This window comes from Homo sapiens, chromosome 15 (assembly GCF_000001405.40).
Source record: "Homo sapiens chromosome 15, GRCh38.p14 Primary Assembly".
Lineage (NCBI taxonomy): Eukaryota > Metazoa > Chordata > Mammalia > Primates > Hominidae > Homo > Homo sapiens.
Window position 1 is genome coordinate 77,877,962 of NC_000015.10, and position 27,979 is coordinate 77,905,940.

The window sequence follows — 27,979 nt, forward strand, 5'->3', positions numbered from 1 at the left end:
CTTATTTTTTCATTCCTGAAAAGAAAGCTCTTTTCCTCCAAACACAGTCTTCCAAGCAGCACCCCCAACCCCAGGCCCACAGTTGGCCAGTAATTAGCCCCTAATGAGGACCAGGTGTCCTGCTGACTTGAGGAGAAGGAAAAACAAGGGACAAATTGTGGAATCAATGGCTTTACCACCACTGAGGCCAGCCTGGCACAGCTTTCATCCCAGGCCTCCTAGGGCACATGGATGGAAGCTCTTAGGTTTGCCAAAATCCCCACAGAACAGCAGCAATTGGTTTCTTAGTCAACTACAGCAGGCATTTATTGCACACCTACTGTATGCAGCAGCCTCCGGAGGGGAAAATTGAAGCTTTGCAACAAAGGAAGTGATATGTGTAAAGCTATATGTAAACCATGAATCACAGGGATGTGCAGGATGACAGAGACAGAGGAGAAAAGATAAGCATTTATTGAGCACCTACTGTATGCCAGGTCCTGGGCTAGGCACTTGAGGTACATTAAAGCATTTAATCCTCATCAACCCAATTTTACAAGTGAGGAAACTGCCACAGAGAGGTGAGGTGACTTGTTCAAGGTTTGACAGCCAAGTAGGAGAGCGGGGATTCGAACCCAGGTCTCTCTGGTTTCAAGACCAGTACTCATAACCCCCGCATGGATCAGTCACCATCACACCTCGAAAGTCCTGACACTCAGCCAGCCGGGATGCAGTCCACGCCACAGCCCTCACCTCCAGCCCCTGCCCTGGCCCTGGCTTTGACCCTGGCTATGTTGGCCAGACTTGCATCCGTGGATGAGTGAGGGGCCTGAGACCCTGACCCAGCCTGGCAGAACTAGAGGGGTTCCTCAGGGAGGGAAAAGGGACAGGAGGACCCAGAAGTGGCCCCCAGATCAGAAGTCAAGCAGGCTGCGCTTCTCCCACCACTAGCTGGGGTCGCCAGGGGTTCAATCCTGGGGCGGACACGGGACCCCGCTATCTCAGGTTATGGGGTTTCTAGCTAGCCAAGGCTGTCCAGTTAGGGGCGGGAGCAGGCGCCCTAGGCATGGATTGCCTAGGGCGTGGCTTTGCCCGTTTGGATTGTCTGAGACACCAGTGGGGCCACCCCAATGCTGTCCGAGCTTTGTTTGCCAGGCAAGTTTGGGGTGAGTATGTTGGGGTCCAAAGGGACCCGGCGACAGTGAGAAGTGGGTCCTCCAGCTTCAGATGCCCTGGGCCAGGAACGGGGAGTGCTACAAGGTGGGAAACGAGGAAGGAGCCACCCTGCCCTCCCCTGTGAGGAGCACCCCCACACCCCTCCAGCTGCCCCCCAGCTCTGCCCCTTCTCTCCTCCCCTTGCTTCCTTGCAGATCCATCTATCTGCCACCTCCCCTCTTCATTCTCTCCTCTCCCTCCTCCTGTTGGTGACAGGCAGGACCCCCCACCCACTACCCACTCTCAGCCTCCTAGAGGGAGAGCTGGTGCCCCTCAGCGGGGCTTGTCCTACAGATAGCTCTGGACCACCCCCTGCCACACCTCCTCATCCCAGCACTGATGCCTGACCCAGCAGAGGCTGAATGGAAGTTCGCTTTCAGAGAAGTGCTGGGATATATCCCCTCTCTGTCCCGATGCCAGAAACCCCAACATGACAGCATTCTTCCTTCAGCGAAGGCAGCTCTAGTTATGCCATAAGAACTGCAGCCTTAGGGCCCATCCATCATCACTACCCATGTGTGATTCAGTGCTTCAGCTACACCTTCGAGATCATTCCCAAGAGCAGCATGGAGCAAAGGCAGGGCCTGAGCCTCCTTCACAAGGGCCCAGGCTACACCCTTCTCTCCTTCAGATGGAGAAGCCAGCTCTAAAAGAGGGCATCACATGGTTCCCAGAAGGGAAGTGAGTCAAGGGAGGACCCCCGCGGGGTGAATCAGGGCTGGATCCCCAGGCTCCCTGTTCCTGCAGGGACCAGATCCCCTAAGATCTCAGGGCCTGAGGGATGGGCTGGGCCGCCAGGGAGATGGGAAGGGAGCATCCAAGGTGACCAGGGTGGTCAGCTCATTCAGGCCCCAGCCTCCAGCCAAGGAGGGATTCCAGTACCCCCACCTCCTTGGGCTTCAACTGAGAGCCATTCTCAAATACCTTCTTAGCCCTGACAGCATGCAGGCATGGTGCTAGGCTCGCAGGGGCACGGGAAATTGAGAGGCTGAACTGAGACTCATTCAGGAGGCAGAAAGGCAAATTAAATCTCAAACAGCAAAAATCTGGATGAAAAGTACAGAGGGGAGAAAAGCAGGGGCAAGCTGGGGCAGGACACAGGGTGGGCCTCAAACCAAGCCTTGGTGGATGGGAAGGGAGTCAGTCCTCCAGGCAGGGGCGCTGACTCAGAGGCACCAAGGTGGGTGTAAGCAGAGGGGTGTTGAGACAGGAAGGCCAGCAGCCTGGCTGGGAGGCATATTTCGAGCACAGGCCAGGGAGAACCACTGGGCTGGGGCACAGAAGCCTTAAATGGCAAAATGAAGCCCACGGCCTTATGCCCTGTTGGCAAAGGAGATGCCACAAGGGTTTTAGGGCAAGAGAGCAGCATGGTGCTGTGGGGTTTTATAAAGTTACACCATCCCCTGCCTTTAGGAGGACTCGGAAATGAGGAGGGGCTGTGAGAGCTCCCGTCCAGCAACCCATCTCTGTCACCACTCCTGGTCCAGCTGCCTGCCCTGATTTCTGCAGTAGGGGCAGCCCCTGCCTGAGGAAGGCGTCCCTCCCACCCCTCCCGGATGCCCCTGGCTGCAAAGGCCCTCGTCCTCCCGTATCCGAATGAGGCGTGCTGGGAGGCTCTCCCTCTACTCATCAACATTTGAGGCATCCGGGTCAGGGGGCCTGGCAGTCAGCAACCTAGAGGCCATCTGGGCCAATCTTCCACTTGTATAGAGAGGGAAACTGAGGCCCCAGAGAGGAAGAAAAGTACTCTGAGTTCCACCAAGAACCCCAGCAGCCCAGGAAGAGCCTCCAGCCCTGCTTCGAGGGTGCTCCCAGCCTGCGTCGGGGCCTAGGCTTGGGCCACTGAGACAGTGTGGGTGACAGATGCGGTGTCCACCTCCTTCTGAGCTGTATGGGAGGCCCCAGCAGAGAGCCAAGCATTGGGGAGATTGGATTTGAGCTGATACTGGAAGGACAGGCAGAGAAGGAAGGAGGTGACATTCTAGTCGGGGGGTCACAGTGAGCACAGGGCAGGCAGGGGTGGTGGCTCCCACACTTCTTCCCTGGCATCGCTGACTGAAAGGCAGAATGTGAGGGGTTGAAGTGGGACCCAGGTGGGGGAGTACCTGGCAGGGAGGGCTTGTGTGTTACCTGAGTGGGGACTCAGAACTGATGGGGGTATCTTAGTGAGCAGGGCCACAGGGACACCAGGTACAAGAAATTGAAGCAGGGTAGATCCTGCTGCCTCTGAGGATGGCTTGGGGGGACCGATGGTGCTCGGGACAGGCACTGAGCCTTGTGTGCACCTTGTGTGCCACCCCAGGCCTCCGGAGCAGGGCAGGGCCCAGGGGCCAGAGCCCTTGGCCCAGCCCACCCGGACTCGAGAAAAACTGTTCTAGAGCAAGTGTAACGGAGCCTCCCTCCCTACGCCTGCCCGCCCGGGCAGGACAAGAAGGGCCTTTTAGTGCTGCCCGCCTGGGGGGCCTGGGGTGGGCCATGCCAGGTGGGCCAGGCGGCTGTCGATGATGGCAGGAGGGGAGTGGGGTGCGTGTGGAGCTCGCGGAGGAAGTGTATAGGCTGTGTCTGGGAACTGGGAGTGCTGCCCAGGACGGGTGGGCAGGGGAGGGGGAGTTGGAAATAGCCCTGACATCCACACTTACTGGCGCACACAGATGTGGGCACACACACTTGCACACGGCCACTCTCACAGACCTGGACGAGCATGGCTACTGCCTCTGTCTCCAAGTCCCCTACCTTAAAGATCTGGGCCAGTGGCGCTTGCGAGGAAGGAAGTGAGCACAGGATGGGGACGGGGTGCCACCCTGAGCTGTGTCTTCTATTCAAGGCCAGGAGAAAATGAACAGGGGCTTGTGGGTCTGGGACTAGAGATTGGCCCCTCCCTGGTCCCTCTGCTCCTTCATCGCCTTTCTCCCGGACTCCTGCCCCATCCAGCTCTCCTCTCGCCTCCAACATGCCCTCCGCCCCAGCATATGTCAGTTCAATAGAGCATTCCAGAGTTAAGACTCTTCCTCCAGCTGCAAGCTTAAGACAGGTTTCAAATTTACTGTTTTACCATTCCTACTGAGTTTGTATGAGGAATTTTTAAATGAACTGAATTTGTATGAACAATTTTGTACTTGGCTCCTCCATGGGGCAAGGGTATCTAGCTCTCTCCACTTCTCAGGAGGGTCCGTAACTCCAAACAGGAGAGGACAAAGCTGTCTTATTGCTGTGCTTGCACTAGAGGTACGAGCTGGGTGTCCCATGTCCCAGGGTGTGCACTAACCATGTTGTTAGTCCTGCAGCCCCACAGCAGCCCTGCCGGTCAGGAAACAGTCACTGCAGCCTCAACCTCCCAGGCTCAAGCGATCTCCCCACCTCCGCCTTCTGAGTAGCTGGGACTTCAGGCATGTGCCACCACACCAGGGTAATTATTTTTTGTAGCGACAAGGTCTCACGATGTTGCCCAGGCTGGTCTCGAACTCCTCGGCTCAAGCAAGCCTCCCACCTGGGCCTCCCAAAGTGCTGGGATTACAGGTGTGAGCCACCATACCTGTCCAACATTCCCATTTTACAGATGAGGAAACTGAGGCTCAGAGAAAAGCAGGGACTGCCTCAGGTCTCTCTTTGGGCACACAGGCCGTGGTATTCTCACTCACTCCAACAGCAACAAGCTTCCCTACATCAAGCCAGGTGGACAACCACCCACCAGTGGGCTCGGGCCCCAGCAGGGGAAAGAGAGAGGTCTGCAGGGACAGACAGCTCGCTGAGGACTCCAGATGTTTGTTCTGTCTCCCCATCCCCCACCAGCCAGCGTTCTCTCCCTTTCCAAACCCTCCCCACTTTCTCACAGCCTAAGCAAATCCCCTTCAAAAAACCCTCTCCCCCCAAAGCTAGGGTTGCCAATGAAGCCACTTTTGTCTCTGATGTAGGGTGATAGCTGTAGGGCTGCTGTCAAGGTGGCCTGGTGGCAGGGGTGGGCCCCATCAGGGACAGTGCCTGTCCTGTTGAGCATTCCTGCCTCTCGCTCAGCTCCTTCCCACACCCAGGCCGGCTCCCAGCCTGTGGAGGAGGCCGCTGGCTCTGCCAGCCCTGGCATGCATGCGTTAGCCAGGCCTCCAGCCATCGCTCCTGCTTCAACACTTCAGTGTGTGGCTCTCCTGCGGCCTAAGGTTGAGGTGTGTCAGTGACGCTGCCTCCCTTCCCGGAACTTACTGCAGAAACCCCTGACCCCAGACCAGCCCCCCATGGATCCTGGGGAAACCCGGGCTCAGACAGAGGAGCCTGCTTGTTCAGAGTCACACAGTGAGTCCTCAGGAGATTAGGGGGAGGGCTCCCTACTCTTTGGCCCTGGTTTGGGAGGTAGCTTCACCCTCAGGACCAGCAGCTCCCCGGGAGCACACATCCCACCTGCTTTGCTCAGGGGTCTCCCCCATTGTAGGGCTCACAGCCTGGCCCCCAGAGGGGTGTAGAGATCACTGAGCCAACCAGGGATTTTCTGACTGCGCTCCAGCGCACCCCAGGGCTCTCCAGCTGAGCCGGCCTGGAGACAGCTGAGCTTGGGAATATGGGACGCCTGCCCCACCCCAATTCATGCAGAGCCACTCCACAAACCTGTTTATAGATTGGGTTCCATGAAGATTGGTACTAAGGGTCCTTGGAAGATGTCCTTCCCCAAGTCTGGGAGCCTGGAGGCCGGGAGCAGAAGGCAGTCCCAGCTTCCTCACAGCAGGCCTGGGGCTGCGTGGCCTCTCCTGCCCCAGCTTCCCACTCCTGCCCGCTGCCTGCTGGCCCTCACTCCACACTGGCTGAGTGTCCCTTATCTGAAACGTTGGGGACCTGAAGTGTTTCAGATTTCTGAATTTTTTTTGGCTTTTGGAATATTCGCTTATATATAATGAGATATTTTGAAGATGGGACCCAAATCTAAACATGAGATTGATTTATGTTTAATATACACCTTATACACATAGGCTGAAGGTAACTTTATAGATTTTTTTTAAAGAATTTTGTGCCTGAGAGAAATTTATGTTACGTTCTTACGTGTGGAGGCCAGACGCGGTGGTTCTTGCCTGTAATCCCAGCACTTTGGGAGGCTGAGGCAGGCAGGTCACCTGAGCTCAGGAGTTCGAGACCAGCCTGGCCAACACGGTGAAACCCTGTCTCTACTAAAAATACAAAAATTAGCTGGGTGTGCTTGTGACGCCTGTAATCCCAGCTACTCAGGAGACTGACGCATGAGAATCGCTTGAACCTGGGAGGCAGATGTTGCAGTGAGCTAAGATCATGTCACTGCACTCCAGCCTGGGCGACAGAGTGAGTGAGGGTTCATCTTAAAAAAAAAAAAAAGTTCTTATGTGTGAGATTTTCCACTGGTGGCATCCCATTGACACTCAAAAATTTTGGATTTAGGGACATTTGGATTTTGAATTTTCAGATTAGGGATGCTCAACTGTGTTGTGCTATGTCCTTCTCTCCCTAAATATATCATCCTCCCTGGTCAAGGTGATCCCGTGTCCCACAGACTGGCTGATCAGATAGAACTAGGCCATCAGATAATAATCCATAACCGCTGGCACCCTTCCACTTCTGCTCAAGCTGCTCCATGCAACAGGCCTTCCCTTTTCCCCCATCCTCCAAGGCTCAGCTCCAGTATCGCCACCCCCAGGAGCCTGTTCTAACCACAGATTGCTCTGAGACCCATGACCTGGATGGCCCCTCTCCTGGGGCCCTGCCCTCCATCTCTGTGGGGTTACAGGCCTTTCTTCCCCTACCCTCAGCTGGCCTCTGTCCCTGGTCCATGACTTTCTTCAGCCTGACACCCAGTAAGTGCACATGCGTATGTGTGCACACACACACTTACACATTCACACACATACACTCACACATACACATTCACACACACTCACACACACATACACACACATACACTCACACTCACATACTCTCACACTCACACACACACACACACACAGTGTTGCTCAGCAGGCAAGGAGTGTCCCTCCCCTGAGCCAGCAGCCCCAGGGAAAACCCCCCCAGAGCAGGCCCTCTGGCCTGGGCCAGTCCACTCTCTGGGGAGTCAGAGGGGGCTGGGGAGAGGAGACGAACTTCCGTTCCCATCTAAGAGCAGCCCCTTCCCCCACCCACATTTCAGGGAGGGGCAGCTATAAATACCAGTGGGACCAGGACACTGATTCCCACGACATCCACTTCTCCCTGCCCCTTCCCTGTGCACAGTGGCTGGGGCCAGACCAGCTCTCCTGCAGCTGGAGGCCAGCCAGGCAGGCCTGAGGCCTAGCCACACACACACACACACACACACACACACACACACACACACACACATACACAGACACACACATATGCAGACACACACAGAGACACAGACACACACACACATACACACACACACACACACAGAGACACAGAGACAGACACACAGACACAACACACACACAGAGACACACACATACGCACACAGACACACACAAATACGCACACAGACAGACATACACACACACATACGCACAGACACACAGACATACACACAGACACATACGCACACACAGACATACACACAGACACACACACGTGCACACAGACACACACACACACGCACACAGACACACACAGAGACACAGACACACACATACACACACAGATACACACAGACACACATGCACACACACAGAGACACACACAGACATACACACACAGACACACATAGACACAGACACACATATGCACACAGACACAGATACACACACAGACACACACAGATACACACACAGAGACATACACACACAGACACACATATACGCACACAGACACAGACACAGATACACACACGCGCGCGCGCGCGTGCACACACACACACACACACACACACACACACTCTCTTACTTCCCATCCTGGTCAAGGAAGGAGCAAATCACCCTTTTTGGGAGTCTGCGAGCAGCTAAGAGGGAGCCCCTCCCCTGCCCCTCAGCCCTGACCCAGGCCCCATCTCTCCCTCCTCTGAGTCCTGAGCTGTGGGAACCCACACAGGGAAGCAGGAGGCCAGGCACATGGTGGTGAAACACGGCATTAGAGAGCTCAGGTTGAATTCCAGCCCTAACACTCCATGCGTGACCTTGGGCAAGTGACTGTTTTTCTGAGCCTCAGTTTTCTCCTCTCTAAAATGGGGATAAATAATTTCGACCTCTTACGTCGAGGATTACGTGTGAGGATTAAGCAAGACACTTTGCCTGGAATCAATGCTCGGTGGACGTCTGCTCCTGAGGCTGCAGTCACTCTGCTATTAGCATCTTCTTCCCAGGGTGGAGTGGCCTGGTGACATGGGGACTTCTGCTTAGGAGTCTTTCAGGAAGATTCCGAGGCAAAGGCCTAGAGGAGGTGGCCCCGTGAGTCCGTGTGGGACCAAGGGACGTGGAAAAGGAGAGGTGGGCTCTGGAGAGGGTATCAGCCAGCGGCTGCCTGCCAGCCCAGGACCCTTCAGAAGGTGGGAGGGGGTGGGGGTCTGCATCTCTGTGGCTAACTGGGCTGAGGCCCACACCCCTCTCCCAGTGCTAGAAGAAGCAGGGACAGCCCCTGCCTGGCCCTCCCCAGGGCCTGTTTCTCCCAAGCCTAACAGCCCCTAGGATGGGGCTCACTGGGCCGGGGCACAGCAGGAACCCCCTGTCCCCAGAGCAGGTGAGTGAGAAGAGAATGAGCAGGTATCAGGACCTTTTATGGGACAAGGGACCCTAGAAGCCTGTCTTTTCCCTGCTCTCTACCAACCCCTCGCGAATCCCTCTCTGGAGGTGGGGGCTGGAGGCCAGGGCCCAGGGACGCAAGATAGCTCACCTGCCAGGGCCACCATGGGGCTGTTACCACCACTCATGACATAAGCAGTGGTGGCTGCATCACGAGGAGCAGAAATCCGGACTGAGGGAGGGGACAGCCCTCTCCGCTCTGGGCTGCTAGGACCCCTCAGGGGGATGGGTGTATGTGAGCTCAGAGTAGGGGGAGGTGTGGGCAGGTGACTGAGGTGACTGCAGAGTGGGGTGTGCAGCTTGGGGCTGGGACACTGGAGGGACCCCGGACAAGGGCCGGCCCGTGCCTGAGCCCTCAGGGCAAGATCCCATTGTGCAGGCCCCCACTGCCTTCACCCACGTAGAGGTGACTCTTCTCCACAGACCCCTGGACAGGGCCCAGACAGGCCCCCCACCCACATGTGCTAACAGAATCCAAGTGGCTGCCCCTGGCCGAGATTCTATCTCTGGGCATGTGGGGCCCATGTGTTTCTGGCCACCCACCTGGAGCCTGGCTGAGCCCCTCCAGGGGTGGGTACTCAGACAGGGGCTGTCCTTCCAACCGTGGACAGCCCTGGGGCCGGTGAGATATTGTAGAGACCTGAGCCAGCTGGCTGATGGTGCCACAGCCCTTGGGCTACCTGGCCCTGCTGTGTGGCCTTGGGGAGACCCTGGCCCTATCTGGGCCTCTGGGTGGAATCTTCAGTCTCCTAGGTCAGCTCTAAATTCTGAGCTTGAGCCTCTTGGGAACAGGACAGGGGCCTCTGCCTCTATCTAGAGAGAGCCAGCTGCTTGTCCTGGGCCAAGCAGCAAGGCAGGCTAGGCCTGGAATGGGGCTGAGAAGCAGCCCAGCCTGCCAGGACTCCCTGGCATTGGAAAGCCACTTTCCTAAGTTGGCATGGAGCCCTGGGGCTCCCCCCGGGATGAGAGCAGCGGCTCCTCTCCACCCCCGGTTCCCATCTTCCACCCCCTGGCCCCAGCCCCGCCCTGCCAAAAATAAACCCAGACCACCCCATCTTGTACCAGCCAGACCCACCCAGCCCCTCCAGAGCCAATTGAGTCACCACTCAGAGCTGCTCCTTTTTTAACTGTCTGAGTCACTGCTTGTGGCTCCATGACACATGCCCCAGGCTACGGTTACCCCACAGCCCCTACAAGCGCAGCCAAGGGAGGGGTCTGCGTAGAGGCTGGCAGCAGGTGTGAGTCCAGGCCATAGCCTTAGCTTGTGAGCCCTCCAGGCCTAGGGAACTCACTCCATAGCAAGCCAGAGACCAGACCTGTCCCTCAAGGTCCCGGCCGTGCCCAAGACAGCCCTTGGGGATCTTGGTGACAAGGTCAATCTGGGCTCTGCCCCACAACATTGAGTTGCCTCCAATAGGCCTTGGGCCTTCCCCGTGGAGACTGCCGGGAACGGAGGGTCTCCAGCCCCTAGACCCTGGAGGCTGGGGGTGGGCGAGGCCACAGAGACGCCTGCTTCCTCCCTCCTCACCGGCTCCACCCGGACTCTGACCACGCTGCCTGGAGCACCATGAAGACTCTATGGAACGGAAGCCACACTTCAGTCTCCCCTCACGGCTTCTGTCTGCCCCTGCGCAGGGTCACCCGGGCTGCAGAGCACCCCCGATCTCTCAGTCCATCCCCCCATCCCGCTCTCTCCATCTCTCTGTCCTTTCCCACCCCTGGCTGTGGTTCCTCCATCTCTTTCTGTCTGTCTTTCCTACCCTGTCTCTCTGTCTGTCTGCCCATCTCTCCAGTCCTGCTCTGTTCTCCTTCCCTTCTCCTTTACCGGGTTCCACGGCAGTCAGAAGTGCTCCCTGCCGCCAGCACCCCACCCGTCCCCAGGGCCCTCTCTGCCTTCTCAGTAGACATAACAGACCCTCACCTCCTCCCATTCCCACAAGGGACTCTGGGCCCCAGGGACCAATCCTGAGAAATGTTCCGCTCCCCTCACCAGGTCCTCCCGTGCCCCAAAGTGCAGGCTACATCCTGTCCCAGGGAGTGTCAGGATCCCACAGGCACTTCCTTGGGGGTTGACAAAGGCGGGCAGGGGGGCCTGGGAATGGCCCCACCTCCCAGTCCATGCTAGAGCAGGGGCCTGTAAGCCTCAAACCCCATCCGTCTTCTGTCTGTGGCTGTGGCCTCCGGCTATAAATAGGGGCTCAGATTCTATTTTCTTTAAAAACAAGCACAAGACTCTGTCATCACAGGCCCAGAAAAGCAGTTTCTGGCTGGGGCAGTCCCTCCAGCCCTCCCTGGCCATTATGTCCAGCCCCCTGCCTCTGAGCCCTGGGGCCCTGGAGAGCAGAAGAGGCCTGGAAAGGAGCCTGGAGGTAAGACAAAGTGGGGAGGGCTGGGGCGAGCTCCCAGAGGCAGCCCCTCCCTCCTTTCTTTTCACCTCCTGTCCCCAAGCAAGGTCAGTCTAGTCCCCAAGGCTCACAGTGTAAATGGAGAGAGGTGACAACAGCACAGCCCCCTGGGCCACAGCGAGTGTCTTTGCACCCCAAGGACAAAGAAGGCGCTTTGGGCTTTTTTCCCAAAAGAGCATGAGGACATTTCACAGGCGGACAGGAGAGAAGAGCTGGCCCGGCAGCAGGCCCAGCCTGAGCGAAGGCAGCAGGTCGGGCCTGCTAGGTGTGCGCAGAGTCAGTGCAGAGTCTAGTGAGGCGGAGGCGTGGAGTGTCCGTGGAAGAGAGCAAGAGACCCTGCAGGCAGGGCCGAGGGCACCCTGGCTTTCGTCGCCACCCAGGGGTGGGGGCCTGACCCTGGGGCAGTGGGAGCCAGCAAAGCCAAGGGAGGCTGAGAGAGCGGCTTTCAGTTTGGGTTAACTGGGGCTGCTATTAGCAAAGGGAGTCAGGAGATTGATTAAGCCAGACCAAGGACGGTGGCCAGCCGCCTTATGGATGGACCAGGGAGCAAGAGAGGAAGATGAAGTTGAAGGAGAATTTGGGGACTGGATGGATGGAACCTGAGTATTAATCAGCAGTGGCTGTGGGGAGGGAGGAGGAGGAGAGTTCAGCGCGACCCTCAGATGTCTACTCAGCAACAGGTGGACAGTCGGGCCTTCACGGGGCTGGCGAGCCGGCTGTAGGGGAGACGACACTGAGTCCTCCTTGCTTTGGGTGGGGCTGGGCTTGGGGGTTCCTATGGGTGTTCCTGCCGTGGACATCTGAGGGACACTGGCAGTGGGCCTGGAGCCCTGGAGAGTTGGTGCCAGTGAGAGAGACGTGGTGCATTAGCAGAGGCTGGGCCTGAGGCCGGGAGAGAAAAGGAGGGCCAGAGGGAGTGTGGTGGCGGTGGGCACAGCTCCAGGGGGGCCCACAGGCTGCAGGCTTCCAGGCAGTTGGCAGGTGGGGGTGCTAGGCAGGAACCTATTCCAGGAGGAGCCAGGCCTGCCCAGGAAGAGAGGTCTCAGTCTTGGGATCCCTGATGGGCCTGGGTAGCCCAGAGGTTCACTAGCAAGGACACTGAGGTTTCCTGGTGCACCCCCCGGCAACGCCCTCCCGCTGGAGCACCACCAGTGCTGGGGGCTTGCTGTGGTGGGACAGCTCTGCCTGATAGAAAAACCCTCACATGGGCCAAATGCCACATTTGATCCTTTCATTCTCTTAGCATGTGGGCCCTGGTCCTGTCCTCAAGAGCTTCCAGTCTGGCCAGACCTGTGGCCATTTAGGCCAGAGATGGCTCTACTGTACCCACGGTAGTGGCCACACCTCTTGCCAGTCTGCTGGGCTGGTTAGAGGCCAGATGTGTGTCAGTCCCTCTATCCAGGTCCCCTTTTACAGATGGGGACACTGAGGCCAGGGAAAGCATGGAAGCACATGGCTCTGAGCCCTGTGTGTGTGCTGGGGGTGTGAGCCCTGACCCAGGCATCTGCCCTGGACGTGGACTTCTGCCTGTGGGGTGAGCCCACCCTCTGCCCTGTATTCAGATGGGGGAACTGAGGAGGAGGCACACAAGCCACTGTACACAAGTTGTGCCACCAGATTTCAGGTCCAGGCAGCCGTCCAGACCCACAGTCACCGTTTCCTCTGTTCTTCCCCCATCCCAACTCACACACTCACTATCTCCAGACCCAGCCCACCAGGCTGGGGAAGCCCCGAGACGCCGCCCCGACAGCCCTGTCTTCGGCAGTTTCTGCTGCCAGAGCCGAGGGGAACTCAGAGATGAGCCATGGGCTGCCTGGTCCTGGACACTGCCCAGGAGAGAGCCTGGCCCTCAGCCTCCTGGGGGCAGCTCCCACCCAGACCCCTGTCTCTCCACCCTCCTCCCAGACCTCCAAGTCCCCAGTGGGCAGGGCTGGCACTTATCACTGGCTTCTGGACCTAGTCATCCCTCGCCAGCCCCTGCAGAAGGGCCCTCCCTATTCGGCCAGCCCCAGAGCCACAGAGGCGGGGCTGCCAAACCGCCCAAGGAGAGCAGATGCTTCCATCCCCTCTTCGCTGCCCCCTCCACCCGGCCCTGACAGAAGAGTCCCAGGGGACAAGAAGGGAAAGAGTGTGTGTTCCCCAGGCTGGGGTCCAGCTCTCACACCCTCCTCCCACTGGGGCCATTGGCAGATGCTCCACTTCCGATTCACAGGCAGCAAGCAAACCCACCACGCCTCTCTGGGTGCACACACGGTGCATGTGCCCTGCTGACACCCACAGCCCCTAGCTCTGGAGCCACACCCGCGGGAGCTTAAGTCCCAGCCCTGCCACTGCTCCACAGGCTAGCACGGAGGACTGCCCTCTCTGAGCCTCAGTTTCCTCACCTGTAACATGGGAGATGCCTCCCAGGAGCCTGCTGGGCCTGGGGGGCTGGGCAGCACCAAGTGAGGGTCCTTCACTCTTCTCTTCCCTGCCAGAAACCCTACCCCAGCCTGGGTCCACTGAGTGAGGGTCCCAGGTCCGCTAGGGCCAGGAAAGTGGGGGAAAGGAGGGTACGGAAGGGGCCTGGAAACCCACCCATCTCCCTGTACAAGAGGGAAAATTATAAGGCAGGTAAAAGCCTCTTGGAACCGCTCCCCACCGCAGCCACCCCACCCTCCTCGCCTGAGGCCTGGGGAGCAGCAAGGCTTCCACAAAGACACCATTGAGGCCCCGCTTCCTCCTCCCCCAGCCCAGCCCTCCCGCCTCGTTGGACTCTGGGCTGCTTCTTCCCTCAAAACCTCTCATTTCCTCTCCTTCTTCCTCTGTGCTCCACAAGGCCCCAGGGTTGGGACATGTGGCTGGGAGCCCAGGGCGCAGCCCCTATCAGCCTCTGTGGACCAAGCTCAGCTTCTCCCACCCCACCTGCCCCTGCTTCCACTCATCTTCCAGACGGGTTCCCTCAACTGGAAATGTTCCCCAGTACATGCCCCTCTACATGGGTGACTCAAAGCGCTTGGTTAGAGGATGGTAGCTGAGGCCAGTGACCAGGGTCAGGGCCCAGCCAATAGCTGAGGAAACTGTTTTCCTCCCTGGCCTCCTTGGCCTTGCAAGGGACCAGAAAGGCAACTAAACAGAAGGTCAGCTGACCTGAGTGTGCATCTCTTGGCTCAAGAGTTCTTGGGGCAAGGAGGGATGGGGCTGCCCTGACCCTGGCAGAGGTCTCTGCAGCATTTAGACGTGGAGGCAGTCACCTAAGCAGGTGCCTGGCACTCCAGCACCCCCACTGGGATAAAGCAGTGTCTCCTGAGAGGATGGCTGCTGTTGTAAGCTCCATGGGATTTGGAACTAACCTACTGTTTTGTTTTGTTTTGTTTGCAACAGAGTCTCGCTTTGTCTCCCAGGCTGGAGTGCAGCTCGGGTCACTGCAACCTCTGCCTTCTGGGTTCAAGTGATTCTCCTGTCTCAGCCTCCCAAGTAGCTGAGATTACAGGTGTGTCCCACCACACCCAGCTAATTTTTGTATTTTTAGTACAGACAGGGTTTTGCGATGTTGGCCAGGCTGGTCTCGAACTCCAGACCTCAGGTGATCCGCCTGCCTCAGCCTCCCAAAGTGCTGGGATTACAGGCATGAGCCACCATGCCTGGCCCTTAACTAACGTACTGTTGTCTGCATTTCGGTAGCTCACGGGACAGGAGAGGAGCAGGCAGTCTGTGGGCTGCGGGGATGGCCCTGGGTGGTGGAATCCCAGTCTGGAAGCAGCCAGGAAGAGTTGCTAAAGAGCAGTGAGCCCTGAGGGGTCTGCAGGTGTGTGAGCGTCTCCCAGGCAGCCCACCCTGGCCAGTGATGAGCCATCTAGGCCTGGGCCCTGGTGACCCCAGTGTCATCACTGGGCAGGTCGCTCCCCTTAGTCTGACCTTAAGTCTCCCCTGTAACCTACCCCCTTGTTACCCTCAAACTAACAGGGTTGGGGGAAGGTGATAGCTCAGTGTGGGTGGCTGAGCCTTGGGGAGTCTGCTGGGAGGAGGTTTGAGAGGGGCCCACCCCTGAGTAGGCACACCAGACAGCTTCTCCCTTGCCTGAGGAGCCCAGGGAGACCAATGTGCTGGGGAGGGGACCCCCAGTAATGGTTCAGTATCCAGGGCCCACAGTGGGGCCAGACCATGGACCCAGTGCATGCCCTCCTCGCGTGCCTTGCCGCCACACACGTGTGTACATGTGACACTGACCCACACTCCCGCACACACTCGCCCATGCCCTGCCTGCTGGGTTGGAAGTAGATTGCTGTCGGAAGTAAAATAGGGGAGTCCCTTGAAGGTGCAAGGGGAGGGAAACTGACCTGAGGTCTAGAGGGCCAGGTGACCTCAGGGAGGGTCTGCTGCTGGGGAAGCACACCTGGCCCGTCCATGCTCTCACACAGCCGGCATTCAGCCCCCAGGTGGGCCACGACCCCACCCCTGCCCCGCCACATACACACCCATGAGGGGAGACAGAGAGCCCTTCATCCCGGCCTTGGCCCTCCCAGAGCACCCCATCCCACAGCCCCCTCAGATTCCCTCACCCCTGCCTGCCCAGACCTGGAGCCAGGATCTCCCCCCGTGGTGCCAAACCCCGAGGGGCGGTGATGGAGAAGTCTGGCTTCGTCTTGGAGCAGGGCCCTCCCTCCCCAGCAGGCTGGCTGGGCGTCCCCTCCTCACTCCTGTGCACAGCAGCAGGCTTGCTGCCAACGTCCCGCCTTCTCTGTCTCCCTCGAGTTTTCCTCCTCCGTCTCCTTCCTCAGGCCTTGGTCTGTATGTGAATCCAGTCTTTATGGAGGAGGGCATCTTGATTTCTCCTTCTCAGTTTTAATAATTTTCTCCCATGTTAGCTGTCTTCTTCCATTCCCATCACTGTATTGCAGCTAAGGCCGGGCGAGAAGTCGAGCACAGCAGCTGCTGGCCCAGGTGCTAAGCCCCTCACTGCCCGGGGCGGGCGGGGCCGGCCAGCTGCTCCGAGTGCGGGGCCGCCGATCCCACGCCCACCCGGAACTCGCGCTGGCCCACAAGCACCGCGCGCAGCCCCGGTTCCGGCCCGCGCCTCTCCCTCCACACCTCCTGGCAAGCTGAGGGAGCCGGCTCCGGCCTTGGCCAGCCCAGAAACGGGCTCCCACAGTGCAGCGGCGGGCTGAAGGGCTCCTCAAGCGCGGCCAGAGTGGGCGCCAAGGCCGAGGAGGCGCCGGGCTGTGAGGGCTGCCAGCAGGCTGCCACCTCTCACTGGGACCCGGGCAGTGCTCAGAGGCAGCACCATACAGCAGAACCATGAGGGTGCGCCAGCATGGACCCCTTTCTGCAACCCACCCGTCCCTCTTTGCGGCACCTCGCCTCCTCCAGGCAAGAGTCTGAGCCTTGACCACAGCTCCCTCTCTCACACAGCTTCCTTCTTCGGTGAGAACCACCTGGTCGGTCGGCTCTGACCGACATAGACCTGCAGCTGCAGTTCTCCACGTCCCAGCCCGAAGCCCTCCTTCTCCTGGCAGCAGGCCCAGCTGACCACCTCCTGCTGCAGCTCTACTCTGGACGCCTGCAGGTGAGTGACGTCCCCCTGAGATCTGGGCGGGATTCGGGGTGGGATTCCTTCTCTAGCTTTGAGTGAACCCCAGCTGGCTGTGTGACCTTGTGTAAGTCACTTTTATCTTGGGGTCTTAAGTTCTCCACTGTGGGATGGGCAGCAGCAGCCCAGAAATGGTAAATCCTTCATGAACTGGCTCTGCCCACCGGCTCCCTCCAACCATGTTTCCCGCCACAACCCCTTGCTGGCCCTTTGTGCTCTGACCGCCCTGAACTGCTTTCAGTTCCTGGCCATCTTACAGTCGCTTGCTGCCAGGCTCTTGATGCACACTCCTTCTGCCAGGTGTGCGCCTCTCCCGTTCCCTGCACATGCCTAACTCTAGCCTCTCCTTGAAGTCTCAGTGTGGGCATCCCCTCCTCCTGGGCTAGGCCCCCTCCTGAGCCCCCATGACCCCTGTGCATTCCTGTGGCACTGCACCAATTTGTCTGCAGCACCACGGTCTGTCCACGACAGTAACAGCACCAGTACTGCCTCAGCTTCCTCATTTTTCCATTTCATCCTTCAAAACACCACAAGCTTTGTTAGCAAGGAGTCTTGTGGCTTTCTTGAGTCTTCCCCCAAGCCATGAAGAGTTTAAGAACCCAGGGTCTTATTCCAAATTTGTGCCAGGCTGAGTGCAGTGGCTCATGCCTATAATCCCACCACTTTGGGAGGCCAAGGTGAGAAGATCACTTGAGCCTAGGAGTTCAAGACTGGCCTGAGCCACACAATGAGACCCCATCTCTATTTTAAAAAGAAAAAAATAAAAACAAATTTGGGTCAGCCATCTCCTTCCACACCCTACTGGGGAGAGGACTAGGGCTTGGTCAGTCTGCTGCTGTCATTGCATTCCCAGTTCCCTATTATTCCAGGGCTGAAATCTAGGTTCCAAGACAATATTTCTGGCACTTCTCACTCAAGGAGAGAGGAGAAGAATTTAAAAATACAGGTTGGATTTCTAGGAGAGCATCTTGCTGTATGTCAGTTCCTTGTGGGCAAGGACGACATCTGATTCACATCAGGGTCCCCAGAGCCCGTCCAGCCCTGGCCCAGAGTTCCCTTTGGTGAGTGTTTGGAGGATGAGTAAAGAGATGGCAGGATGGCAAGAGGAGTGGCACCAGAGGCCCTTGTCCTAGGTTTTCCGCTCTGGGGCACCAAGAGTGGGGAACCCACTATGCTTTTATAAGGGAAATGATGGATTCCAAGTGCTGCCCCCCATCTCCCACTCCCCATCTCTCTTCAGGTCAGACTTGTCCTAAGCCAGGAGGAGCTGAGGCTGCAGACCCCAGCAGAGATGCTGCTGAGTGACTCCGTCCCCCACACTGTGGTGCTGACTGTCGTAGAGGGCTGGGCCACATTGTCAGTTGATGGGTTTCTGAACGCCTCCTCTGCAGTCCCAGGAGCCCCCCTAGAGGTCCCCTGTGGGCTGTTTGTTGGGGGCACTGGGACCCTTGGCCTGCCCTACCTGAGGGGAACCAGCCGACCCCTGAGTGGTTGCCTCCATGCAGCCACCCTCAATGGCCGAAGCCTCTCTGGCCTCTGACTCCCGACGTGCGTGAGTGCTGTGCTGAAGAGTTTTCTGCCAGTGATGATGTAGCCCCGGGCTTCTCTGGGCCCCACTCTCTGGCTGCCTTCCCTGCCTGGGGCGCTCAGGACGAAGGAACCCTAGAGTTTACACTCACCACACAGAGCCGGCAGGCACCCTTGGCCTTCCAGGCAGGGGGCCGGCGTGGGGACTTCATCTATGTGGACATATTTGAGGGCCACCTGCGGGCCGTGGTGGAGAAGGGCCAGGGTACGGTATTGCTCCACAACAGTGTGCCTGTGGCCGATGGGCAGCCCCATGAGGTCAGTGTCCACATCAATGCTCACCGGCTAGAAATCTCCGTGGACCAGTACCCTACGCATACTTCGAACCGAGGAGTCCTCAGCTACCTGGAGCCACGGGGCAGTCTCCTTCTCGGGGGGCTGGATGCAGAGGCCTCTTGTCACCTCCAGGAACACCGCCTGGGCCTGATACCAGGGGCCACCAATGTCTCCCTGCTGGGCTGCATGGAAGACCTCAGAGTCAATGGCCAGAGGCAGGGGCTGCGGGAAGCTTTGCTGACGCGCAACATGGCAGCCGGCTGCAGGCTGGAGGAGGAGGAGTATGAGGACGATGCCTATGGACATTATGAAGCTTTCTCCACCCTGGCTCCTGAGGCTTGGCTGGCCATGGAGCTGCCTGAGCCATGCGTGCCTGAGCCAGGGCTGCCTCCTGTCTTTGCCAATTTCACCCAGCTGCTGACTATCAGCCCACTGGTGGTGGCCAAGGGGGGCACAGCCTGGCTTGAGTGGTGGCACGTGCAGCCCACGCTGGACCTGATGGAGGCTGAGCTGCGCAAATCCCAGGTGCTGTTCAGCGTGACCCGAGGGGCACACCACGGCGAGCTCGAGCTAGACATCCCGGGAGCCCAGGCACGAAAAATGTTCACCCTCCTGGACGTGGTGAACCGCAAGGCCCGCTTCATCCACGATGGCTCTGAGGACACCTCCGACCAGTGTCAGTGACGGCTCGGGTGCCTCATGCCTGTGGAGGGGCCAAACTTACCTCCTGCCCATCCAGGTCAACCCTGTCAATGACCCACCCCACATCATCTTTCCACATGGCAGCCTCATGGTGATCCTGGAACACTTGCAGAAGCCACTGGGGCCCGAGGTTTTCCAGGCCTATGACCCGGACTCTGCCTGTGAGGGCCTCGCCTTCCAGCTCCTTGGCACCCCGTCTGGCCTCCCCGTGGAGTGCCGAGACCAGCCTGGAGAGCCGGCAACCGAGTTCTCCTGCCGGGAGTTGGAGGCCGGCAGCCTAGTCTATGTCCACCGCGGTGGCCCTGCACAGGACTTGACGTTCTGGGTCAGCGATGGACTGCAGGCCAGCCCCCCGGCGACGCTGAAGGTGATGGCCATCCAGCCGGCCATACAGATCCACCGCAGCACAGGGCTGCACCTGGCCCAAGGCTCTGCCATGCCCATCTTGCCCGCCAACCTGTTGGTGGAGACCAATGCCGTGGGGCAGGATGTGAGCGTGCTGTTCCGCGTTACTGGAGCCCTGAAGTTCGGGGAGCTGAAGAAGCAGGGGGCAGGTGGGGTGGAGGGTGCTGAGTGGTGGGCCACACAGGCATTTCACCAGCGGGATGTGGAGCAGGGCCGCGTGAGGTACCTGAGCACCGACCCACAGCACCACACTGACGACACCATGGAGAGCCTGGCCCTGGAGGTGCAGGTGGGCCAGGAAATCCTGAGCAATCTGTCCTTCCCAGTGACCATCCAGAGAGCCACCATGTGGATGCTGCAGCTGGAGCCACTGCACACTCAGAACACCCATCAGGAGGCCCTCACCACAGCCCACCTGGAGGCCACCCTGGAGGAGGCAGGCCCAAGCCTCCCAACCTTCCATTATGAGGTAGTTCAGGCTCCCAGGAAAGGCAACCTTCAACTACAGGGCACGAGGCTGTCAGATGGTCAGGGCTTCACCTAGGATGATGTACAGGCTGGCCGGGTGACCTATGGGGCCATGGCACGTGCCTCGGAGGCAGTCAAGGACACCTTCTGTTTCCATGTCACAGCTCCACCATTCCCCCTGCTCTGTACCCTCTCCATCCACATTGGTGATGACCCAGACGTTCACATCCTCACCAATGTCCTCCCTCATGGTGCCTGAGGGTGGTGAGAGTGTCCTCTCTGCTGCCTACCTCTTTGTCAAGAGTCTCAACAGTGCCAGCTACCTCTATGAGGTCATGGAGCGGCCCCGCCATGGGAGGTTGGCTTGGCATGGGACACAGGACAAGACCACTATGGTGACATCCTTCACCAATGGAGGCCTGTTGCGTGGCTGGCTGGTCTACCAGCATGATGACTCCGAGACCACGGAAGATGATATCCCATTTGTTGCTACCCGCCAGGGCGAGAGCAGTGGTGACGTGGCCTGGGAGGAGGTACGGGGTGTCTTCCGAGTGGCCATCAGCCGTGAATGACCACGCCCCTGTGCAGACCATCAGCCGGATCTTCCATGTGGCCCAGGGTGGGTGGCGGCTGCTGACTACAGACTACGTGGCCTTCAGCGATGCTGACTCAGGCTTTGCTGACGCCCAGCTGGTGCTCACCCGCAAGGACCTCCCTTTGGCAGTATCATGGCCATGGATAAGCCCACGCGGCCCATCTACTGCTTAACCCAGGAGGACCTCAGGAAGAGGCGAGTACTGTTCATGCACTTGGGCTGATCATGGCGGGATCCAGCTGCAGGTGTCCGATGGGCAACACCAGGCCACTGTGCTGCTGGAGGTGCAGGCCTCGGAGCCCTACCTCCGTGTGGCCAACGGCTCCAGCCTTGTGGTCCCTCAAGGAGGCCAGGGCACCATCGACATGGCCGTGCTCCACCTGGACACCAGCCTCGACATCCGCAATGGAGATGAGGTCCACTACCACGTCACAGCTGGCCCTCGCTGGGGACAGCTACTCTGGGCTGGTCAGCCAGCCACTGCCTTCTCCCAGCAGGACCTGCTGGATGGGGCCGTTCTCTATAGCCACAATAGCAGCCTCAGCCCCCGTGACACCATGGCCTTCTCTGTGGAAATGGGGCCAGTGCACACGGATGCCACCCTACAAGTGACCATTGCCCTAGAGGGCCCACTGGCCCCGCTGAAGCTGGTCCGGCACAAGAAGATCTACGTCTTCCAGGGAGAGGCAGCTGAGATCAGAAGGGACCAGTTGGAGGTGAGGAGTTGGATGTGGTGAGCGGGGGTGTGGGCCAGGTAGAGGGCCTCCCGCCCAGCCTCCATGCCAGGAACACGTGTGACTTGGGCTGTGGCTGTGGTGGCTCCAGGTTGCATGTGTGCACGTGCCTCAGATGTGCTCCCGTATATGTTGTGCTCCCAGGAGTTTCTGGGGAGCTTGCTATACACCCATCCTCCTGGGAGTTGTGTGCGCCTCCAGAGGTTGTGTCCACTCATGTCCATGACATGGCTGAGCATGCAGATTCCTGGACCCCACCCAGCCCTACAGAATCTCTGACGTGGAGCCCGAGAATCTCCATTGCAGTCAGTTCCCTGGGAGGACATCACGGGTCCTGAGCTTTGGGGATTGCTGACCGTGGAGGCAGGCCGCTACTCCTCAGACCCTCATGTCCCCCACTCTTTTCTCAGAGCCCAGACCAGGACTAGGAGGTCTGTCAAGGGCTTCTGCCCACCCAGGAACCCCACAGAGCAACCACGGGCCCTCCAGCAGGCTCACTGACTTGCCCTGTGACCTCAGGCCAGTCCTTGCCCGCTCTTGGCCTTACTCTCCTACACTGCTCATTTCGGAGACCCTTCTGGTCTGCATGTCTGGAGCTTGGGGCCGACAGCAAGCCAGCAGATCTGGAGTCAGGAAGGCCTCGTGGGAGGAGGCAGCGTTTGGGCCGGGCTCTGAAGAGCACAGGCCATCAGGAGCAGAGAATGGGGAGTGGTATTCCAGGCAGAAGGAACATTCCGGGCAAAGGCATAGAACAGGAATGTGAGTTTGGGGGTGGTTTGGCCTCTTGTGGCTGGCCCATCAGGTGAGGGAGCCCGTGTGGCCTTTGGGGCGTGAGCTCTGTAGGGCCTGAGCTGAAGGCGGCTGTGCCTCCAGGGGGGTGGGGCGGGGCGCCCTCTGATGGTCCTGGGTGGTAATAGCAGGGGCTGGGGAGGTGCTGCCTGCAAACCAGCCTCAGGCCTGACAGATCCTGAGCAGGGGGACCTGTGTGTGTGCGTGTGCACACGCGCATGTGTACATGTGTGACCGCGTCAGCGTATGATGAACTTGTGTGTCTGTGTCACTGAGTCTGGGGACATGTGATTATGCACCTCCCTGAGGGAGTGCCTCTCAAGCTGTGTGACCGACCCCCTGCAACCGTGTGTGGGGTGGGCATTAACACGTGACCAGCAGCCGGGGCAACCCAGTGAAACCCCATCTCTACACAAAAAGTTAAAAATTAGCCGGGCACGACCAGGTGCGGGGGCTCATGCCTGTAATCCCAGCACTCTGGGAGGCCGAGGCGGGCAGATCACGAGCTCAGATCGAGACCATCTGGCTAACACGGTGAAACCCCATCTCTACTAAAAATACAAAAAATTAGCTGGGCCTGGTGGCATGTGCCTGAGATCACAGCTACTTGGGAGGCTGAGGTGGGAGGATCCCTTGAGCCTGGGAAGTTGAGGCTTCAGGGAACTGTGATCACACCACTGCACTCCAGCCTGGGTGACAGAGTGAGACCCTGTCTCAAAAAACAAAAACTGTGACCAGCTGCATGTCTGGCGGCTGTGTGTGTGAACCCACGTGTGTGTTTGTGTGTCTAAATGAGCAGTGATATCTAGAGGAATAAGTGGGGCAAGATCAAGCCTGTTCCGGCTGCTTAGGGCCACAGTGGACCCCTCTGAGACCCCCTCTGTGGTCATGTGAGTCCTCATGACCTCTTAACCAGGCAGCCCAGGAGGCAGTGCCGCCAGCAGACATCATATTCTCAGTGAAGAGCCCGCCGAGTGCCAGCTACCTGGTGATGGTGTCACGTGGCGCCTTGGCAGATGAGCCACCCAGCCTGGACCCCGTGCAGAGCTTCTCCCAGGAGGCAGTGGACACAGGCAGGGTCCTGTACCTGCACTCCCGCCCTGAGGCCTGGAGCGATGCCTTCTCGCTGGATGTGGCCTCAGGCCTGGATGCTCCCCTCGAGGGCATCCGTGTGGAGCTGGAGGTGCTGCCCACTGTCATCCCACCGGAGGTGCAAAACTTCAGTGTCCCTGAGGGTGGCAGCTTCACCCTGGCCCCTCCACTGCTCTGCATCGCCGGCCCCTACTTCCCCACTCTCCCGGGCCTCGGCCTGCAGGTGCTGGAGCCACCCCAGCATGGAGCCCTGCAGAAGGAGGATGGACCTCAAGCACCTTCTCCTGGAGAATGGTATGCCTGTGAGAGAGGCCCAGGGGCTGCAGCCCGGCTCTGGGGGCAGAGTAGAGGGAGCCCCAGGGACTCCCAGTCTGGGGGTTATACACAGAGAGGAGACGGGGAGTCACATTTCAGAAGCACCTATGCTTTAAATACTGTATCTTCTTTCTTCCTTACAACTCCTCTGGGAGCCAGAACTTATGGTCCCCATTTTCCACCAATGGAAGCTGAAGCCCTAAAAGAGTCAGTCTCCTCCTGCACCCAAAGGCAGGGCATGAAGGGTGCTGCTGAGGCCTGACTGCCATCCCTGGGCCTGCCCCTAGGTGGAAGAGCAGCTGATCCACGTACGTGCACGACGGGAGCAAGACACTGACAGACAGTTTTGTCCTGATGGCTAACCCCTCCGAGATGGACCACCAGAGCCATCCTGTGGCCTTCACTGTCACTGTCCTGCCTGTCAATGACCAACCCCCGGTCCTCACCACAAACACAGGCCTGCAGGTGAGAGTATTCCTGGGACCACCCCCAATTTCTGCTTCGAGAAAGAGGCCTGCGTCCCCTACTTCATGACACAGAACTCCCCCTCTCTGAGCCTCAGTTTCCTCCTCTGCAAAATGGGGACGCTGCCGCATGCCTCATGGGGTTGTTGGAAGGGGAGATGTGAGATTGTGCTGAAATAGAACACAGGTGGGAGATTTTGTTACTGGACACTTGCAAGTGCGGTAGGCAGACTTCCGAGTGGCCACAGGTGGCTCTGCTGTTCCTTCTCCTGTGGCTCAGAACCAGAACACCTGACAGAGTCACTTACAAACCCTTAAGGGCAGGCATCAGGGCGGGAGACATTAAGCTTCCCACCTTCACCCCAGCAAGTGAAGGCCATGGCTTGGCTCCCCAAACTCCTGCCCCTTGTGCCACAGCAGAGCAGGGCCCCCATTCTGCAGAGGTGGAAGTTGAGGCCCAGACGTGGGATGGAACTTCTCCATGGTTGCAAAAGTAGTTCTGGTGGAACAGAAAGGGCATGGCTTTACAAAGCCCACATGGCAGGGCTTTGAACCCCAGCTTCTGGGGTGTGTCCTCCCTGGTCAGCAGGAGCCACTGAAGGTTCCACAGGAGGGCTGACTTGGGCTGTCTCTGACCTGGGGCACCGAGGGAACTTTGGTGGTCTAGGACGTGCCCATAGAGGGTGGCCTCATGGTGCAGAGGCCACAGAATAGTGGGACACAGCACCCTAGAACCACAGGCCAGGACGGCTGTGTGGCAGCATGGCCACCAGGTGGTGCCATCCACCCGTGTTTGCTCCGGGAGCCCAGTGCTGGGGTCCTGCCCCCCACATTATGGCCCCTCCTGCCAGGGCTGGGCCTGAGGGCTCCCTGGGGCCGGGGGAGGAAGCCCAGGAATGCCAGAAGGCTCTGTTTTCCAGGCATGTGAGTCCCAATGCAGCTCTGCCCGCAAGTAATTGACCCAGCAAGACTGGTACCAGGACCTCAGGAACAGGCGCACCTGCTCTGCTTGCAAGTGGGAGGCCTGAAAAGGGGTCCCCTTTGCCCAACATGAGGAGGGCCCCTAACTGCTCTGGAAGCACCTGGGCCCATCCCACACTGATTCTGTGCTGCAGAATAGTGCCAACCATCAGCCCCCCACTCTCTGCGCCATGCATCCCTCCCTCAGCTGGAAGGAGGGCCCATTTCTAAAATCACCATTCCCACCTGTGCCCAGCCCCGGCCAGGCACACACGGAGGCTCTGAAAGGAGACCCCTGCCCCACCAGTGAGACAGATTAAGGAGCACTGTTGGTCAGCGCTGGGGGTTTCTGGGAGTGAGAACTTGGTGAGGGTAAGAGCTGGGGTCTTTCTGGGTAGGGGACATAAGCTGGCCTTGAGGGACACGCAGGACTAGGGCAGATGGAGAGCAGGGAGGCTGGGCCTGGAGGGTGACCTTCCCTGGGGCCTTCCCTGGGGTGACAGGGAAGGTGAATGTGGGAGGCCCTTTGTGCAGGGGAGCCAGAGTGGCGCCAGCCTCGATGCCACCCGAGGGCCTGAGCCACAGCAGGACTGGAGCCCTGGTGGCAGCCCAGGGCCAGGAAGGAAGGGGTGGGTGAGTGTGGCAAGGCAGAACCTTCACAGGCCTGTGTCCCCAGATGTGGCAGGGGGCCACTGCGCCCATCCCTGCGGAGGCTCTGAGGAGCACGGACGGCGACTCTGGGTCTGAGGATCTGGTCTACACCATCGAGCAGCCCAGCAACGGACGGGTAGTGCTGCGGGGGGCGCCGGGCACCGAGGTGCGCAGCTTCACGCAGGCGCAGCTGGACAGCGGGCTCGTGCTGTTCTCACACAGAGGTGGGTGCTGAGGGCCGGGCCTCGGGTTCCTGCTGCCCACGGGGGTGCCCTGAGATGGGGAGCCGGCTCGGGCCAGCCGGACCCAATGCCCCTGTCCCCAGGAACCCTGGATGGAGGCATCCACTTTGGCTTCTCTGATGACAAGCACACTTCCTCCGGACACTTCTTCTGAGTGATGGCCCAGAAGCAAGTGTTCCTCTTGCTGGAGGGCAGCTGGACACTGACTGTCTGCCCAGGTGGGTGTGCTGATCATGGGCGTTCCTGGGTGCCGGGAGCTGGGGCGGAGCTGAGGGTGGCATGCCAGGGTCATGCTGCCTCTCTGCAAACACAGGCCTGGGCCTGGATCTCAAAGGGTGATGGCCCCTTGTGCCTCTGGCAGGGTCCATCCAGCCACTCAGCAGCCAGAGCCTCAGAGCCAGCTCCAGCGCAGGCACCGACCCCCAGCTCCTGCTCTACAATGTGGTCTCGGGCCCCCAGCTGGGCCGGCTGTTCTCACCCAGCAGGGCAGCACAGGGGAAGCCCTGGTGAACTTCACTCAGGCAGAGATAAGGGCCCCACTCTGCAGCTACCACTCAGATGCCCCCAGCCTCAGGTGGCCGCTGTGCCATGGACATCATGTGGACATGGGTGCCAGCTCCAGCATCACTGGCAGCAGACACCCCCAGGCTGGCCATAGTCCAGGCCCTGGTGTCCTGCCCTCCAGGAGCTGCCACACTGGCAGGGCAAGTTCATGTTCCCAGAAGGAGGGAGAAAGATGCAGGAAGTCAGGGATACAGGGCCCTAGAGCAGGGCTGTGGTCTTGGGGTGTGGCTTCCAGAAGGAAGCTACAGCCAGACCCGAGGGTCTGGAGAGGGGGCACCATGTGGGGGCACTAGTGGCACCCCAGTAGCTGGCAAGGGGTAGTGCTTGGTGGGGGATGGAGTTGGAAGTGAAGCAGCTGCTGGGCCTGTGGGCAGAGGTGTGAGCCTGGGGCTCAGGTCCGGTGCCAGCCAGAGGCAGAGTGGATCCTAGGGGCAGATGAGCTGATGAAAGGCAGCTGAGTCAGTCAAGAGGGTGAAGCCGCTGTTCATCCGTCCTGGTGGCTTCAGAGACCACCAGGAAGAACTAGAGCTCTCAGCCATGGGTAGCAGCAGACTCTGTGATAACTGTGCCATGGGGGCCAGCCCAGTCATCGCTTAAATGAACACCTCTCCCTGAAGGCACAACAGGAGTTGTTCCATAGCAGGGCAGAGCGGGGCAGACTCTTCCATGGGCTGTCCTGGGCAGGTGGTGCACCTGATGCTCCCACCAGGAGGCTGCGTGGGCATCTGGACCCAGCACATGACAGTGAGTTCTGGGTAGGGCGCGTTCTTGCGGGTGCAGAGCTGACTCTGTCACTCAGGAGCCACGGCACGTGATACTGCCCCAAGTACCTCCAGAGGGGTCCCCCCGCCAGCCCTTGAAAATGGCAGAGCCCACCCCTAGCCCCCTTTCCTAGCTCCCTTGCTGGGCAGGGACCTCGTGAACCTGGCACTCTCCCTCCTGAGAGGCGCAGATGGTATTCAGCAAGTGCAAAGCCAAAGTCCCCGCCCAGCAAGTGGCTCAGATGGGGAGCCTTTGGACAGCTGGAAGGAGGTGGCTTTGACAGGTGGAATGAAGTCTCTTGGGCTTCTCACATCAACACCCCCCAGTGCCGGGTTCTGTATTTCCCTGGCTCCCCACTCCTGCTATGGCCCCCTCCCCACAATGAGATATTTGTCAGGCTGGTGTCTATAGCTGCTGCGTACCCTCAGTTGCTGGGAGCCTTTGTCAAGAATGCCCAAGAATGGGGAGGGCA

The 27,979-nt window shown here is 59.0% G+C and overlaps 1 pseudogene, besides 4 other annotated features; it reads left to right on the forward strand.

Annotated features, from left to right (window-relative positions):
* CSPG4P13 (chondroitin sulfate proteoglycan 4 pseudogene 13) lies at window positions 677–26,710 on the forward strand (annotated as a pseudogene).
* Window positions 964–1,464: an enhancer, noted in NCBI's record as "H3K4me1 hESC enhancer chr15:78171267-78171767 (GRCh37/hg19 assembly coordinates)". NCBI's record gives its function as "activates a minimal SCP1, AML or CMV promoter by ChIP-STARR-seq in primed H9 embryonic stem cells {active_cell/tissue: H9 hESC(primed)}" and the evidence as "EXISTENCE:reporter gene assay evidence [ECO:0000049][PMID:30033119]".
* Window positions 9,733–10,475: an enhancer, noted in NCBI's record as "H3K4me1 hESC enhancer chr15:78180036-78180778 (GRCh37/hg19 assembly coordinates)". NCBI's record gives its function as "activates a minimal SCP1, AML or CMV promoter by ChIP-STARR-seq in naive H9 embryonic stem cells {active_cell/tissue: H9 hESC(naive)}" and the evidence as "EXISTENCE:reporter gene assay evidence [ECO:0000049][PMID:30033119]".
* Window positions 26,099–26,663: an enhancer, noted in NCBI's record as "H3K4me1 hESC enhancer chr15:78196402-78196966 (GRCh37/hg19 assembly coordinates)". NCBI's record gives its function as "activates a minimal SCP1, AML or CMV promoter by ChIP-STARR-seq in primed H9 embryonic stem cells {active_cell/tissue: H9 hESC(primed)}" and the evidence as "EXISTENCE:reporter gene assay evidence [ECO:0000049][PMID:30033119]".
* Window positions 26,664–27,228: an enhancer, noted in NCBI's record as "H3K4me1 hESC enhancer chr15:78196967-78197531 (GRCh37/hg19 assembly coordinates)". NCBI's record gives its function as "activates a minimal SCP1, AML or CMV promoter by ChIP-STARR-seq in primed H9 embryonic stem cells {active_cell/tissue: H9 hESC(primed)}" and the evidence as "EXISTENCE:reporter gene assay evidence [ECO:0000049][PMID:30033119]".